We start from the raw sequence: 18,883 nt of genomic DNA, 5'->3' as shown, positions 1-18,883 counted from the left end.
CACTGATGTAGGAGGACGTGGGTCCCATGATCTGGCTTCGTCACTCATCTGTCCAGCTGGCTGGGGGGAGACGGGGCCTTTCTCGGGGAGTTTGGAGACAGCCGAGCTCTCCTGAGGGGCCCCCTAACAGCCTGATGCAGTTAGGCTAATGCAGTGAGGCACCACTGCTGAGCTCCGTGTTGAAAGTAGAACAGGTGCCCTTTGCCCATTTTGTTAAACTAAAGGACAGAAAACATTTGTCTAATTTTGCCTTTCTCACGTCTTTCTACCAGGAAATATTAAACTCACTCGCTCAATGCATCTTTGGACTGATTGTTACAGGATAGGAGCATTTCAGTGGCATGTTTCAAGGCAATCATCAGTCTCAGAAAAAGAATGTAGCCCATGTACATCTCTGAGCAGATTCAAAGTGTCCATAACTGAATCGATGTATTGTGTCATGGAGGGTAAGACATCCAAAAAATAATACCCAATCCAGATGTTGTTTGGTGAAGATGGAGAGGAATCCGTAACCAAAAGAACTCCCATTGTCAGGCCAGGAGCGGTGACTCAGCTTGTAATCCCAGCACTTTGGGAGGCCAAGGCGGGCAGATCACAAGGTCAGGTGTTCGAGACCATCCTGGTCAACATGTGGAAACCCCATCTCTACTAAAATTACAAAAATTAGCTGGCTATGGTGGCAGGCACCTGTAATCCCAGCTACTCAGGAGGGTGAGGCCGGAGAATCACTTGAACTCGGAAGGCAGATGTTCCAGTGAGCCAAGATCACACCACTGCATTCTAGCCTGGGCAACAGAGCTACATTCCATCTCAAAAAAAAAAAAAAAAAAAAAAAAAGAACTCCCATTGTGTCAAACCACTCCCATTGTCAAAACTCACCAGTGCAAAGCTGAGGACTGGGCTGGGCAACGTTCTACACACTGGCTTACTTAATTTACACCCCCAAATCCACACTATTAACAGTATTTTACCAATTTAACAGTACCATGGACAAAGAGATGTTTTGTGGAAATTAAAAAATTTTTAAAAATTAATAAGAAAATATAGAATGTACTAGAAAAGAACAAAAGATGTGAACTCAGAGTTCACAGAAAAGAAGCACAAAAATATCAGTAAGAATATAACTAAGAGGCTCTACTATACAATTTAGTTCATAATTAAATATTGCAGATCAAAATAACACATAGGTACCCACTTTTCCATTTGAAAACAGCAACAACAACAAAAAGAAACAAACAACAACAACAGCAACAAAACTTTTAAAACCCTATTGCCAACCACAGTCTAGAAATCCAGGCCCTGTCCTACATGACTGGGGGCATGTAAATTTCATAAGCTACCTGGGGAGAATTGGGTTAACAGCTAACAAAACTTAATTCTACCAACTTGCTGATGGTATAATTTTACTATCAGAAATGCTCCCTAAAGTCATCCAAAAGCAGTAAGTATGAGGAAATGCACAATGAAGTTTTAAAAAATCAGAACCGACTAAAATGGCCATTGAGGGGAGTTGCTGAATAAATTAAGGTGTGGGCCTGGAAGCCTGGGAGCCACGGGAAAGACAAGGACCCTGTGGGAGGCAGAGGAACAATCTCCCAATTATAGGTGATTAAACATTACCACATAGAGAAGTTTCTGCATGATTCCATTGACTTCATAGAAGACTCAGGTGCCTGCAGGAGGGATATGGATACATTGTTTCTTTGAAAAGAAATTGTTAAAGAGAGACTGTCTCTGGGTGAAGAGGGAGTTGGCAAGGAAGACTTTCATGATCTATTTTAATGATTGTGCAAATTTCTTTCTTTAATTTTTGAAATAAATTAATTAAAAAATGCAAATGAAACCAACTAAATAGCAAAAGGGAAAGACCGGCTCATTGATGGATGAAGAAAGCCTTACCCCAGTGTTTCCCAAAGTGGGTTCCACCGGGAACACTCATTGTTCAGGCAAGGAAAGATCCGGATTTAAAGCGTGTTGTGCATCTACCCCCAAGACCAGGGTCCTGCAGGAAAGAAATGACTTGCCTCTCTACGACCTAAGGTAAAGGATCCACTACTGCACACTCAAGGCTGCTGCTTCTTTTGTTTAAGGAAGAGGTGCTGCATTCCCTCTGACGATTGCTCCCAGCAGGTGTCCACAAGGCAGACTGGACTCAAGGACATGCAGGAAGATGGCTGCAGTGTCCAGTGTTATTCATCCACAAAATGCAGCAAGTGAAGTCGTGAGCAGAAAGCACGGGCCATCCAACCTACATGTGGGCGAACCGTGGTGACTACAGGGAAACAAATGCCTTTGCAAGAGCCAAAGCTCCCAAGTGGTCTAGTCCACAAGTGGGGATCTTGCAAGTCTGACCCTACAGCTGTGCTTTCTGTACTCAGGTCTGGCTGTTTCTCCATCATTTTAAACATGTTGCTTCCGTGAAGCACCAGTTTGTGGTTTTCATGAGACTACAGCAGCCTGCCACCCTCTTTGAGAACCAGGCCACTTCTGCTCCTCTATTTCAAAATTAACTTTAAATTACATATTGATTCCAGCCCTATGAAATTTAGCAAACAGTGCATTACATTTAAATAAATTATAATAATCAAGCTCCAGTGTTTGAATTAAAGCTTTTTTTGCATGATTTGACTGAATACTGTAAAAACCTCATTAATTTGTATGCCATTAATTTGTAATTTGTGATAAAGCAAAGGCAGGAGAATTGGAAAGAAAGGGGTGACCTGACTAAAGGGTTTTCTTTTTTTTCTTTCTTTCTTTCTTTTTTTTTTTCTTTTTTGCCCTGCAAATCTTTTTCATGAAAGTGCAAATCAGTACTGTAAACAAGGTTGCAGGGGGTCTTATTTAAAATACTTAAGAAAATAAACTTTTCAAATACCTTTTAGAAGCATCATTTACATGCATACAATTTATATGCTAATTACAAATAACTCTGGTCTATTCACTGGAGTAATTCCCTTGACAACATCTACTGGGCTTTTTGGGGTTTTTTGCTTTGTTTTGTTTTTTCGCCTGTGTTAAGTTACTATTGTACTTGAAATTTACAAAATGTGTGTCCACCAACACATTTTATTTAAATGATTTTGTTTAATTAATTTAAATCAGTAAAAATTTCGCTGCAGCTTCTAAGGGTCACTTTACTTTTTTTCTCTTGCTTTCTAATGTGATCCTAAAATGCTCAGGAATTTGCTGTTCTCTAAATCAGAGTTCCTAACAGAGGTGAGGAAACCAGCTTCAGGGTGGAGGCAGGGGGCCACAGACTCCAGTCATAGCCTGGAGCTGAAATTAGCTTTTATGAGAATTTTTTGAGTTTAGGTGTGTGTGTGTGTGTCTGTGCCTGTGGGTGTATATGTAGATATGCACATACACATATAGAAAAAACACAGCAAACTTGTAATCCTGGTGTTCGTTTTAAATTTCCAAATCATTTACTATCAGAGGTCACAATCCACAAACAAATCAAAGATTTTTTTCCCCCCAGTCCAGGGCCATCATGCTCCCTGTGCTGGAAAAATGGAATCCAATATTGAGGTCGTATCTGCAAAAACAAACAGGTTTTCCAACTATCCACAAAACAATAGGCATGTAGCTCTGCACTCCGTCCCCAGCCACCCTGCCCCCAAAGAGAGTGCTGAAAAGCCCCGTGTTCTGAAAACAAAAACATTTTGGAGTGGGAAGGTGGGAAAAGCAATGGAATCCATTTGATCCCTGGCTCGGCTGTGTAGCACAGCCCTGATGCACTGTCAACTGATAAGCTCAGCTTCTAATTTATTTACTTTACTAATTGGTTTACAAAATAAAATTAACATCAGCAACAAACACCCTCCTTCAAACCGTGTAAATTACATATTGCACCTCTCAGAATATAACTTTAGATAGTAATATAATTAAGCCTACAAATGCTCACAAGAGGAAGACTGGAATTCACAGAATTTAGCAAACGCCTTGGAATTTCAGTCTTACACAGCATCATTATTCTTATGTGAAATATAATTAATGAAGAAAATGCCTCAGATGTGTGGGCTAGGAAGGCAAATATAACCATCCTTTATTGTGCCTTCAAGGTTAGAATTATTATAGCACTTATGATTTTATTTTAATTACCCATAATGAGACTCCACACATGTGATATAGCCGACATGCTTTTGACAATAGAAGTTTTTGAAATGCCTCATTAAGTATTTTAGTATATATTTATGTGATTTTCACTCTGCCTCCCGGTTTTGGTGGCACCACAGCCCATGTAAAGGCATATGTACATATTTTAATAAAAAAATGCTACCATTAAAGATCATAAAATGATTACGATGAATAGATATTAAGATGTCACAGCTGTATAACCCTTTCTTTTTATGTACTCCCATGCTGAATTGTTTTATGACCTATCATAAACCTATTAAACTACTGGTAATAAAGTATTGTAATTAGTGATAAAACCGTGTTGCTTAGTGAGCCAAGACAGTCATCCTTACTTTGAATTTTATTGAAAGTAATCAAGACAAAACCTTCAGCAATGTCAAATACCAGTCTGAGAACAAGGTTGTGCTTTTACTGGGGACTGGTAACATTTAACCTTTCCTGGAGTTTTGACTCTAGCTTTATTTTGCTGGTGGTGGAGTTTTTTGGCTGTTTAGCTTGGTGCCGTTTTATTTTGTTTGTAAACAGGAGGTGCAAGAAAGCGCATTCCAAGGGGAAGGGACGCCGGCAAAGGAACCCCCTGAGCTGGGGACCATTGTCCCCGCTGCCTGGCGCTGGGGCACTGTGTGTCGCCCACGTGGGATGCAGCCATGACACAGCCGAGACTATGGCAGAGAGAAACCGCGCTGCCATGGATCTGGGGCCGAGCGAGGGAGGAAGGGGCTGAGAAAGGGCTGAACAAAACATGCGACCTTTTCGCCTCGCAAATCAAATTAACTGTTTCCTGGCCATCCTCGGCTGAAAGTGAACATTGTCACCAGAGGCACAAAGCCCCCTCGCGAATCCCCAGGGCACGGCCAGGCCCCGTCACCTGTGTCTGTTGCTTCCTGGAAGGCATTAGCTGTGCCCACACCCTCAGAAGATGCTTCTGGGTGGATGTGGTCTACTGAAAGAGGTCATTTTCAGCTCCCTGAATGTACATTTCCCATATCTTCATCTCAAAATTCTGGGGGCTGCAATTTTATCAGGGAATCAGAGCCCGGAATATGTCTTTGCAAAGCCTAAGAGCGGAAAGCGCCCTTTTGTGCCAGAGTGGAGAGCGCCCTGAAGCCCTAGGCCTGGACAGCAAACCAGGGCATCAACCAGTCCAGCGGCAGCCCCTGAGCTCACCGAAAATGGCCACGCAGGGGAAGCCGCGTGCGGCTGGGAGCTTCACTTAACTTCGAAAGTAAACTTAATGGAAGACCCCTTTAAGTGGCAAACAATGACCCAGCCCTCCATTGTGGGTCTCACAAACCCGAGATTATCTCAAAGAGGGAAGACCAGGTAGAGGGGCGTTTATTCCTCTTCTTTCCTTCTAACTGGACTTTGCAACCCACTGTGCTGGGCTTTTCACAGCCCTGAATTGAGCAATAGGGAAACTATAGTAACCAATAATCTGCTTCAGTTCAATGGAAACTATGTATCTTGGAGGATGACAAAGCCAGGGATAAACACACACACACACACACACACACACACACACACACACACACACCCCACCCTAAAGCCTGCTGTAGGACCACAGAGAGGCACAGCACAGCCAGGAGCTGGCCTGTGGTCTAACCAGCCTCACCACTGAGTCCTGCCCCAACCTGTGGAGCGCAAGGGGCCTGCATGCAAGGCCAGGGTCAAGGGTGGCTTCTGTGTGGAGCAGAGTTTCAAACGGAGATGCTGAGAAATAAACCCAATATTAAATGGAAGGGTTGAAATTGAATACAAGGGACTGGTTGAGTGTGGAGACAGACAAAAACATTTAATCACAAGTGCATTCAGGTCTCTCTTCAGACCCAGGAAGGGTTGGGATTAGAGCAGCAGAAATCTCTTTATATTATTTACACTATTTGTATTCTCCTGGCTATAATTCCACCTTATCACAAATACAATGTGTGCTTTCCCATTTGCACTACACCGGCATAAGGGGCGTATTAGTGTAGTCTCGAGGAAATTATAAAATGAAATTAAAACGTATCCCCAGCCCCTAAATGTCAGCATGGCTGTCTCATTCCCATCACTTGAGGTCTATATGGAATCAGGGGCACCAGAGGCTGATGACTTCAGCTAGCAAATCAGGAAGATGGCTCATCAATTTTATTTTTTATCTTAAACATATCCAGAGTTGTATGGCTACACACACAAGCTGTAGCAGTTGGTCAGGATTTAAGCTACTAGAAGAAAGTTAAGCTTCTGCGTCAACTGGCTGAGATACCAGCCATAAGCTGACAAGTAATTAAACCGGTATATCTATAACAACTGTCATCTCTTATTTCTGTGCAACTTGGATGTAAACCAAGAAAGCCAGAGAGAGAGAGAATGAGTGAACCTCCATCATCGAAGGCCACCGCCCTGCTGAACAGTTTAGTAGACTTGAGCATTTAGCGGTTTGACGCCCGGATCAAAAGGGTCAGCGCTCCCTTTACCAATTAACAGCAGGGAGAAGCACAGCAGCTAAGGTGTAAATTTCAACTCTGCAGTTTTGAGGAAGCCGAGCATAAAATGCACTCTCGCACTCTTGAGTGGCTGCTGCTCAATGGTGATGCCACCACTGCTGTCCCTAGAAGCTGAAAGGCAGGCGGTACCCTGCCCAGGGCCAGCAGGGCCTGGCCCCCTCCCCAGGTGGTCTTCTTGGGGTTGGTGCCTGCATTACCTGTGGTCTGAACAAAAACTCCCTTCTGCCCACACTCTCTCTCCACCAAGACACATGACAGATATTCTACAGAGATCTCTTTCCGTGTGGAGATATTTCACATTAATAGAGAGAGAAGAAGTGGCGCCGGTGGAGCTCTCAATGGTTCAAAATGATGGGAAAAGTTAAGTAGCAGCCAACCCACATTTCCAGGCTTGAGGCTCAATCTAATGGACGGTCTGAGCTCCTTTTTGTGCGGGGACTTCGTTTGTTTGATGCATTTGAAAACAATGTTATGGGGACTATTAGCTCAATTGAGATGGCTCCTCACTTTCCAAGATAAACAGGCAATTAGGTTCCTCTGCATTTTTGGTCCTGGGAGGATGAGAGACCTGGGTTAGGTCAGAAGCCCAGCTTTCAGGGGAGGGGGACTCAGGGTGACTCCCTATGCCATTATCTCCTGCTTGGCACCCCAGTGATTTGCAAAGGATTACTTGCCTGACACTGGATGCCACTATATAGCAACGAGAGAGTGAAAGGAAAAATACTGCAGAGCACTCTAAACCTCCAGACATTCCTGTTTGCAGTAAGATTTGAGATGTTTAAGTAAAAATTTTAAATGTTTAAGATGAGCTATTTACTCTCCCTCAAGACTATTATAATCCCCCAAAATATGGAAGAATGAGCAGGGCATTTGTTAGGGATCGAATTGCAAAAATATCTGATGTTTTTGCTTTTAAAACCTCTTAATACTTTCCCAGTCTTTTCTGTTCAAATGGAAGCTAAGCTTTGTTAATTTCCAAGTAGTTAAACTTGGAATTACTTGTCAATCTTGGAAACACGGACCCCCAATCCAAGGCCTATCACACATTCTGTTTATTTTTCTGCTAATGAAAAGTGTGACAAGCAAATAATTAAACTGAAAAGAGAGCATAAATTAGAGTCTACAGCTACAGAACAGATCGCCTTTTGAAGACTGCATTTTAAAAGATGTGCTTCGGGAGAACACTCACTCCAGTCATTTGAATTATCTGGCTTAAACTGTATGTGGTTCTTCTGTAAGATGGTTTATCCCATTTCATCAAATAGAATGTTTGATGTACCTCGGCATAACAAATTATTTGTGTTGGATTTATTTCAGCGAATTCCCCTTCTCCTTCTGGTTTCAAGAGAGTAAGCCCTGAGTTTCTAAACATTATGAAAACAACCAGATCTCAGAGACATTATATCCACAACAAAGGGAAATGAGTGACCAGCCCAGTTGCATTGTCTTTTGAACAACAAGTCAATGCAGACAGAAGTAAATGACAGTTAATTACAAATTACGTTCTGGTTGGGGCTGCGCGGGCCTCTCGCCCGGCGTAGCGCTCAGGCCCCGGGGCGCTCACCTGCCTGCCGAGGGCCTTGCGGAGACCTGGGTTGGGGTGCCGCACAGCCTTCAAAACAAGCTGCTAAACACAAAAGCTTATTGGATTACAGAGATTTAGGAAAAGACATTCAGATCTCTCCGGGCAACTGCAGAAGGAGGGTGGAGGGGGTGCTGGAGGACGGATCACTGCAACTTTTTGAATGCTGGTCTCTCTTTGCAGGGAAATTGGCCCCGTTGTTTGGCAGTGTTGGGAAACTGGTCCTACCATGGGCAAGCTCCCTTTAGGAAGCACAGCAGTGCTGGGGGCCCATTATAACTTGGCCACCTAACTGCTTTTCAAACAGGGAAAAGTAGACAGTGCTGATGCTATGTTAGATTCGTAATCACATGAATCATGAATTCGGTGATGCACTCAGACTGTTTATTTTTTATCGGGAGGATTGTCATCGCCATCAGCAGACATTTTGATTTACTAAGAATGTTTCACATTTTTAATTGGAACAGTAAATGAATTTATTACATTTTAAGTCAAATTTTAAGTTAATACATTTGCAAAAATAAGACAATGTCGAAAATAATTAATGTCATCATTGGTGCATTAAAAAGACCTTGGCTTTTGTAATTCACTAAAGCAATTTCTATTCATTTAGTTGAGCTAAATGCTTATTGTTAAAGACAAAAGATCCAACAGCTTGACATTGAGCTCATTATGTATGTTAGAAACACTCAGAAACCCAAGGCCACACTACACGCCACACAGCCAAAGACTTGGGGGCGGGGAGCGTTTCCAGGGATTAAAATGCAGACCACGCCATTCTCAATCACTTTCCATTTAGACCTGATTAAAACTTCAAAACGAAGCTTGTTGGAAACATTGGTAGAACAATTTTTGTTGTTGTCTTTAAGTGATGGGGTAATCAGTAAACTCTGGGGAAGTTTAATGGGTCTCTCTCTCTCCCTCTCTCTCTCTCTCTCTCTCTCTCTCTCTCTCTCTCTCTCTCTCTCTCTCTCTCTCGCTCCCTCTCTCTGATAGCTCTAACAGCCCAGATCTCACTCCTTACTCCCAGCTGACTTGCAAAAATATTTGAATTTTTAAAGAAAGCATTCAGAAGCACATGCTGAAAACTGTATCTTTTGGAAGTGCAGCGACGTGCAGAAAATAAACATTCCTCCTTCCCTTAGACAGCATTGATGATGCAGAATGACAGGGACTTACTAGTGTGATGTTGGCATCTCCAGCCCTAGGAGGTGGCTCTCCACTGCATTTTCCACACTATCCCTACACTCAGCCACGGCATAGGCTCCTGTTAACACAGCCATCACAAGAAGTTCCCTTTTGTATGTAGGGAATAAGACATCCTTATTGCACTCCACATTTGGGGGGGGATCAATTACCCTGCCCTCTCCCTGACAGTGTCATAGGTGAGACAAACACTGTAGTTTGCACATGAGTCTCAACACGATAAAAGTTAGATTCAATCCTGCTGAGATAACTTCAATGCTTTCCCCTGCTGCTCATTCTAAAAGAATGCCTGGCTGTTTTGATCACCGAACAAAACAAATGAAGCAATTTTCAAGATACCGTCCAGAATGAGTGTGTGAGCATATTTAAGGTTTCATAAATACCTCCAAAAGGCTACACTCTAAAAGTTTTACCTCCACGCTTCAAAATTTGAAAGGCTGCCTTTTAGAAGTGTTGGTGTTTTCCAATAAAATGCACAGATAGTATATTTCCAGTCTAAAGGACTGAAATTAATTTATGGAGTGATAGGAGTCTTCTGCCTCCTGGATGTGCGATCAGAGTGAGACATCTCAAATCCTGCTGAAAGGACACCTGTAAGAGCTCTTTCCCTAAAATTAGGTAGAAAAATATCTGCCTTCTCCGTGCTTAGGGGAGTGGCCTTCTTATCGGCGGTGGAGTGAAGCTGACTGTAATGACAGTGACAGGCGAGATCCATCGTGTCATCGGCACTGTGAGGGATGGGGCCCAGTCCCGCCCGCCTGCGGATGCTAGTGGAACCCCCAGCCAGGAGGCAGGGAGTACTTAACCCTGCAAGCCCCGGGTTCCCGCTGTGCGTCACCAGGCCTCTGTCTTGTGTGGGAAGCCTACAGGATGACAGCAAATCTATACGGGCCGCGCAATCTGCCCTCGCGACAAGCTCGCGCCAGGCCGCCTTATAACACGATTAAATGGTATCATAAGGGCAGGGCATGCCTTGTGGAGCCATCACAAGAGTTTTGGGGAGACTGTGGCTGCCGTAGGTGCGGGCAGTGCAGGGGGAAGCAGGGAGCACCGTGGACCGGACCAGAGGACTTCTCCGGGGCAGTGACCCCCCACCAGAAGCCTCTAGTTTCCTATGCCAGGGCGATGGCTTTCAGGCTGTCTGCAGTCGGGACAGATTATGTTTGCCCCTATACTGCAAGTTCACTTTGATATGCCTGTGAACATATATGAGATATATATGTGATTATATATATATGAACATGAGGACCAATTTTGAAGATGTCTTCATACATCCTTAGTAGACAAATCGGTGAGATGCAGTAGGGTTGGGAAATGCTATTGAATGCTATGTAGCATGTTTTTCCCGTCCTGGAGAAAAACCTAAATTATGTAAATGGCAGAGATAATAATATGGTAGATGGCATTTTAGGATGCAATCTTGAACTCCTAAGATGTCAAGTGTCTGATTGTGATCTCGGTGCACACACATGTAAAGTGGCATTTCTCCCGCTATTGTGCACTCATATTTCTAGGAGGACTGTTACATTTACAACATGAAATTTAAAAGTTAAAAAAAAAAAGAATGTAAGAGCTTCACGTAAGGCTTTTTCTAGATTGTGTTTTTGTAGTATTTCTGCCTTCTCTTTTGTTAAGTCACAACAAGCTTTTCTTGGGTTAAAAAGAGAGGAAAAAAGCCAATTGAATAGTAATATGGTTCTTTCATGTATATGCAAGAAAAAGATCTTTTCACACCTTGATGAAATTAGCATAAATTTAAATACTAATGAATTGCCAGTGACTGGTTAAGAATACCAAGGACCACAGTCACACAAAGTTAGACATCCCTAGGAAACAGCTCTGATTCTAGGGGTATGTGGCCTGATCCGGGCATGATTTTTCCACACACACAGTCCTAGACAGGTCAGGATGGCAGGGGAATCGTTAACTCTTCATCAGGGAAAAGTTTCCTCAAAATGGAAAAATTGAGACTGAGTGATAGTTAAAAAGCTCCAGGCCTGGGAGTCCGAGACGGGTGGATCACGAGGTCAGGAGATCGAGACCATCCTGGCTAACACGGTGAAACCCCGTCTCTACTAAAAATACAAAAAATTAGCTGGGCATGGTGGTGGGCGCCTGTAGTCCCAGCTACTCGGGAGGCTGAGGCAGGAGAATGGCGTGAACCAGGAAGGCGGAGCTTGCAGTGAGCCCAGATAGCGCCACTGCACTCCAGCCTGGGCGACAGAGCCAGACTCCGTCTCAAAAAAAAAAAAAAAAAAAAAAGCTTTGGGCCTTGAGTAGCTGGCCCTTGCAAGGGGATTGCTAGAGACATTTTGGTGGCTGCCACGTTGTTTTGTGGTGGGTTTGTTTGGTACAGGACTGGGCTGAGGAATTATTTGCATGGGTATCTCAGAGCAGCATGGAAGGTTACTCTAAAGCTCTGAAGACACTTCTGCAAGGTAGTATCCAATATGACAGAGACCAGCCAGAAAATATGAATTGTGTGCCTTGATGCTTGGCGTCAAATCAAGTTTAGGCTAAAGCTGCCTCCTTATGAATTTTAAGTTCAGCCTAAAGGGTTCTCTGCACATAGTGAACGGCAGCTTATGTGGAGGTGGAAACAGACTAACCTCCTGCTCTTCGGCCAATCACAGAGTTTTGGCCAATCAAAGGGCGCTGACTGGTCAAACTGTGTTCCAATAAGGCAAACGCCGGGCTACAACCTCTCTGGCTGTTTCTGTACCTCACTTCCGTGTTCTGTCTATACATCTTCCACCACGTGGCCGCGCTGGACTCTGAGTCTACTCAGGCTCGGAGGCTGCCGGATCAGTGAATCGTTATTTGCTCAATTAAACTCTGTTAAATTTAATTTGTCTGAGGTTTTCTTTTAACATTGTGTTTAGGGAGGGGGACACTCGCAAAGTGCTCCTGGGATCCCATCTGCCCCACACACGTGGCAGCACCAGCGGCCTTGTGTGGGTGCAGTTCCCCCTTTGCTTCAATACTGAGTGCTCTTAGGCAAACCTAAAGGAGGAATCCTATTTTTTTTTCTTTTTGAGGCGAAGTTTCACTCTTGTCCCCCAGGCTGGAGCTCAATGGCGCAACTTCGGCTCAGTGAAACCTCTGCCTCCAGGGTTCAAGCAATACTCCCGCCTCAGCCTCCCGAGTAGCTGGGATTATAGGCACCTGCCACCATGCCTGGCTAATTTTTGTATTTTTAGTAGAGACAGGGTTTTACCATTTTGGCCAGGCTGGTCTCAAACTCCTGGGCCTCAGGTGATCCACCGGCCTCAGCCTCCCAAAGTGCTGAGATTCCAGGTGTGAGCCACCGTGCCCACCCCCTATTTGTTTTAAATGTTCAGCTATCATATGGTATTGGGAATAATTTCACGTTCTTTCAGGTAAAGGTTGTATATTGATACACAATCACATCATCAGTCCTGCCGTTGTGATCTAAGGTCTCAACATGGAGTCTTGATTCCACAGGGAGTTGCAGCAGGGCCTGGATGGTTTCCCTGTCTCCATGTCTCCGTCAACACACATCTTGCTCGACACCCTTGAGACACTCTTCCAGGAGCTTTCCCCTTGCTCTGCATCCTGACCGGCATTATCCTGCCCTCCAAAGTCACTACTTACTGTTCCTGTTTTTAAGTTTAATAGTTTTAAAAAATTCCAAAATATTTGAAAATATAATTCTAGGAAAAATATTTAAAATGTCACAATTGGCAAGAAGAAAAACTACATCAAACCACAAAAAATAAATACTTCTTTTTTTTTTTTTTTTGAGACGGAGTCTCGCTGTCACCCAGGCTGGAGTGCAATGGCGCAATCTCGGCTCACTGCAAGCTCCGCTTCCCGGGTTCACGCCATTCTCCTGCCTCAGCCTCCCGAGTAGCTGGGACTACAGGCACCCGCCACCTCGCCCGGCTAATTTTTTGTATTTTTAGTAGAGATGGGGTTTCACCGTGTTAGCCAGGATGGTCTCGATCTCCTGACCTCGTGATCCGCCCGCCTCAGCCTCCCAAAGTGCTGGGATTACAGGCGTGAGCCACCGCGCCAGGCCAAAAAATAAATACTTCTTAAAAATGTGAGTAATTGACATTAAGTAATATTATGGTTATTTTCCAATTTTTTTTTAATAAATTATTTTCAGGCTGGGTGTGGTGGTTCATGCCTGTAATCCCAGCACCTTGGGAGGCGGAGGCAGGCAGATCACGAGATCAGGAGTTCAAGACCAGCCTGGCCAACATGGTGAAACCCCATCTCTACTAAAAATACAAAAATTAGCCAGGCGAGGAGGTGGACGCCTGTAATCCTGGCTACTCGGGAGGCTGAGGCTCGAGAATTGCTGGAACCCAGGAGGTGGAGGTTGCAGTGAGCCACGATTGTGCCACTGTACTGTGGCCCAGGCAACAGAGAGTGACTCAGTCTCAAAAATATATAATACAAATAAACAAAATAAAAATAAACAAATAAACATTTTCAGGCTGAGTGCAGTGGCTGACATCTGTAATCCCAGCACTTTGGGAGGCCGAGGTGGGCAGATCACCTGAGCTCAGGAGTTTGAGACCAGCCTAGGCAACATGGCAAAACCCCATCTCTACAAAAAATGCAAAAATTAGCCAGGCGTGGTGGCACGTGCTTGTAGTCCCAGCCACTCGGGAGGCTAAGGCACAAGGACCACTTGAATCTGGGAGCCGAGATTCTACCACTGCACTCCAGCCCGTCCAGCCCGGGTGATAGAGTGAGACCCTGTCTCAAAAAAAAAAAAAAAAAAAAAAGTAAAAAATGTAAAAATTAATTATTTTCTATGGTTTGCAGTATTTTTTCACATCAGTTCCTTAAAATTCATACAACACCTCCAATACAACCTCAGAAACATGTACAAAGTTATTATTTAAAAAAGCAAAAGAGAACAAAATACTTTCTGCCATGGCTAAAAGCTTGGATAAATCATAATTTTTTTTTTTTTTTTTTTTTTTTGTGAGGGAGTCTTGCTCTGTCACCCAGGCTGGAGTGCAGTGGCGCGATCTCAGCTCACTGCAAGCTCCACCTCTCAGGTTCACGCCATTCTCCTGCCTCGGCCTCAAAACATTCGCCTTAGTAGAAATACGCCTGGCGGAGCCTTCAGCAGTGCTCAGTTTACATGCCCCTGAGGGGCGCCTCTCAAGCATCAGGTGCTTGAATCAGATTCCAGCCAGAAGAAACAGCATTGATTTAGGGTTGAGGCCTCAGGCGAGAACCTAAAGTTCCTGTTTCTTGGGTTGTCCATTCAACAGAAATGCAGAGCCATCATTACCTAGGGTTGACATTACCACCAAGCAGTTCCAGAGCTGGATCTGTGCCCTGGTCCAGAAGGGGAGCCAGGCCACCATGCCGTGAGTCCAGGACAGGCTGGCCAGAGCAGAGGTGGGACTCAGGGACACACGGGGAAGTCCACTGCTTGTTCCCCTACAGGAGCACCTTAGTTACAGTCAGTGTTGGAGGGGAAAAGCCCACAGAACAAGTAGATCCTGAAAATCCACTAATCACTTGGAATGAAATGGACAGGCGCAAGGTAAGGCTTCCAGAGACAGCAGGGGATGGGGACCCCTATGTTACTGTCAAAAAGTTTGTTTAGGAAAAAGGAACCGGAAGTTTTTCTACAGACCACGGACCTGAGGAAACCCTGTACCCACCTCACCCACCACGCACCCCAGACCTGGTTTAGAGGGCTCTAAGCACTACTGAGAGGCCCCACTTCCAACAATGCCCGCCCGGGACTTCCAAGCTGAAAATGGCCTTCCTCAGGGGATGGGGGTGGGTGGGGAGAGTGTCCAACACTGACGGATGGAAGGAGTGAGGGAGATCTCTGCCACTGAAAGACTGAAGAATCAACCACAGGCCGGGCTCACACTTGTAATTCCAACACTTTGGGAGGCCAAGGCAGGAGGATCACTTGAGCACAGGAGTTTGAGACCAGCCTGGGCAACATAGTGAGAGCCGGTCTCTAGAAAAAATTTTTAAAATTAGCCTGGTGTGGTGGTGCACACCTGTGGTCGCAGCTAGTTAGGTGGCTGAGGCAGGAGGATAGCCTGAGCCCAGGAGGTCCAGGCTGCAGTGAGCTATGATTGGGCCACTGCACTCCAGCCTAGGCAACAGAGCAAGACCCTGTCTCAAAGAAAAAAAAAAATGAAATAAGAGTAATGATAATGTTAACAGTGCAAGGGCCGGGTGCAGTGGCTCATGCCTGTGGTCCCAGCACTTCGGGAGGCCAAGGTGGGTGGATCACTTAAGGTCAGGAGTTTGAGACTGGCCTGGCCTGCATGGTGATACACCGTCTCTACTAAAAATACAAAAATCAGCCAGGCGTGGTGGCACGCATCTGTAGTCCCAGCTACTCAGGAGGCTGAGGCAGGAGAATCACTTGAACCTGGGAAGCGGAGGCTGCAGTGAGCCGAGATCATGCCATGGCACTCCAGCCTGGACAAAAAGAGCTAGATTCCATGTCAAAAACAAAAACAAAAACAAAAGCAAAACAAAACAAAACAAAACAAAAAACAAAAACAAAAACAGTGCAAGTAATAGCCTGCACTGCCGTTTATCAAACACCTGTGGAGCAGCAGGTCTTGTGCTCTGCATTTTATATGCATTGGGTCATTTAAGATTCACCTTGCAGGCAAGGTGAGTCTGCAAGGACTCAGCCCTTGATGATTTCTCTTAACCAACAGTCAAGGAGGAATCGCCCAGTGCCAGGCACTGCAGGGTCCTTCTGGCACATGCCAGCTTCTTGTAGGAACAGGCTGGCACAATGTTAATCAGGCAAAAAGGAGAGCAAATGGTTAGGGGGAAACAAATGTTGACAGCGTCGTCTGGTCTGGAGGAGTGTCAGGCGGGTTGGTGAAGGCACTGCCACTTCCCCTTGGGCGGGATGTCCTAGCACAGAAAGCCTGCCCTGGAGACTAGGCTGGCAGGATACTGAGGGCACTGAGAGCCCTTCTAGACCGAAGCCAGGGTTCCGCCAGGATCACGGCTGTTCCCCAGGTGAGGAGACCCATGAGGAGGACATCCGAGTCCTGCCCTCTGACCTCAATCCGTAACACACACTGGGGGCAGGAGCCGGGATGAGGAGCTCTCATCATTTTACCCAATCTTACAATTCTGATTAACATGCTTTCCTGAAAGACTTGGTTTTGTTCTCCAAAGTGTGGAGGTCCCATGTCTGACAGACCTCCTGGGAGTGCTTGGAGGAATACTGGGCAAGTTCGACAGAGTGAGAAAAGGTGGACGCGCTCTGTGAAGTCATCCCATCAATCCCGTCAGTGCCACTGAAGACCCTGAAGGAGGATTTTCCCTTGGACTAGTGTGGAAGGCAGTGCTGCGTGCTGGCCCCAAGCTGGGTTCCACTTTCGCCTATGCCCGCTGATCTTGAAAAACATTCTGGGCTTTGCTGGCCCGAGGTATTCACTCTCTAAACTAACATGGTTGGGTGAGAGCTGCTCCCACGTTGCTTGTAGCGTCTGTGCTGTGACTTGCATGCTCTTCCAATTATGGAGAAAGAAAACTCTACCAGAAACCAAACCATTTTATTCTGGTGTTTGGGTGACAATGCCTGAGTCAGCGGTTGGAAGCGTCCCCTCTGTGTATGGGTGTGGCTAATGTCCAGCTTTTCCCAGACAGGCTGTCTCTGCAGTTGGAGCCTTTCCTCCATGTGACCCCCAGATTCACCATGGAGGTCTGGAAGAATTCTCCCCCCTTCCTGACTTCGGCCATCACACTAGCCACTTCCATGTGGCTCCTGGATTGTGTTCCCACCTGAGCACAAGACACGGGCTCCTATAAATCAGCTATACCCTCAGTGAACTGAGGTTCTAAGCACCGCAGGTGGCCCTTGCATCTGACCTGTGAACATCACCTTTGATAGAAAATGCCTATAAGTACCTCCCTGGCAGAGCCACAAACAGGCTCCATGAAGCAAATGTGGGTAACACTTGGCAGTAGGTAGATGTGATACTGATGAGCAAAATCTCCCCCGAAGAGAGCAGGTTCTTCAGGCTGCTGTTCTGAGGCCATCCTGGAAAGCCCTCTTGCAGACATCGTGTACTCCTCCCATGAGGATTTTACCTTGCAGAATTTTCCCGTTACCCCTCAAAATCATTAGTAGCAAAATTTCACCAAAACATATAGCTTCTTTGAGTATCAAGTTCCATCACTCATGATTTAAAGATTGGAAAACTGAGATGTAGAAGAGATGAGAGCCACCAAGGGTCATCAGGAAACTCAGCCCAAGCTTAGACAACCTCACTGTTTCTTGTGTTCTTCAGCGTCCCTGCCATTTGCTCATTATTCAGAATGCACACATCGAGGATGGCTACGTGCTGGCCCCTGGGGAGGTGACCCTGAGCCAGGCCTGACCTGGGAAAGACACAAATGATCCCTGAGCTCTGGGAGCTCCTGCAGTAGAGGAAGACAGCTGCAAAAAAACAAACAAACAAACAAACAAAAACCACAACCTGGAATAGATATAAAATAATTCTGTTTGATTAAATAAGCTAAGCAAATACAGTGTGGCTGTGGGAGGAACAGGAAGAGTGTTTCTCTGTAAGGAGGCCATGGAGGTGATGTCTGAGTTTGGGAGAAGAGTTTTGCAACCAGTGCAAAGGTCCTGGGGTGGGAATGAGCTCATCAGAGCTGCACAAGGAGCAGTGTGGGTAGGGCAGAGACGGGTGGGATGGGGGAGGGCCAGACGTGAAGGACCTTCCAGGCTGAAGTGACATTTGGGTTCTAAGTCCCATGGGGAGCTGCTAGCAAGCATTTTGGTGCTTATGGGGGACATGCTGTGGTTTATATTTTTAGAAGGCCCCTCAGACTGCCGTGTGGCATGGCTTATGGGCCTGGGAGGAGGAGCAGAGAGCTGCAAACCTCCAGCATAAAGGTGGGGGTGGATTGAGGGAGTAGCATCAACAAAGATCATGGAAGGACTTAGATTCTAGACCTTCTGGAAAGAGGTTCCAGGGGCTCCCCAAAGTGGATTGGATGGGACCGGGCAGGTTGTGAAGAAAAGTGAGTGGAGGCTGACTCCTAAATTTTGGACCTAAGCAGACTGTTTGGGTCCTGGTTCTTCTGAGGAGTGAATTCTGTAAATTAATCATATTGATAATCAAATTAATCATGTTGATAGATGGGATGAAGAAAACCTCAGAGGGAGAGACTCCTTCTTAGTTTCAGTTACAGGGGAGGAAAATGCATGCATGCTGAGAGGCAGCATGAGAACTGTAGCTTCTGCAAAGCTAGGATAAAATGGGACCAGGACCACAGCTGAGCTTCCAGCCATCCCCAAACCATGCATGCACCCTGTGTGTCTCCTGGCTGCAGTGAGGACAGGTGGGGTCTTTGGCCTGCAGTTACATTTTGGAGAATCTGTATCAGCAATGGAAAGACGAACACGGTTGGGAACTGTTTCTTTGCACCTGCTCTGTGGACCAAGTCCCATGTGATTCTTGTACGTTGGCTG

The sequence above is a fragment of the Homo sapiens genome, chromosome 5 (assembly GCF_000001405.40).
Source record: "Homo sapiens chromosome 5, GRCh38.p14 Primary Assembly".
Lineage (NCBI taxonomy): Eukaryota > Metazoa > Chordata > Mammalia > Primates > Hominidae > Homo > Homo sapiens.
The sequence above is the reverse complement of the archived record's forward strand: the minus strand, read 5'-3'. Positions refer to the sequence as shown.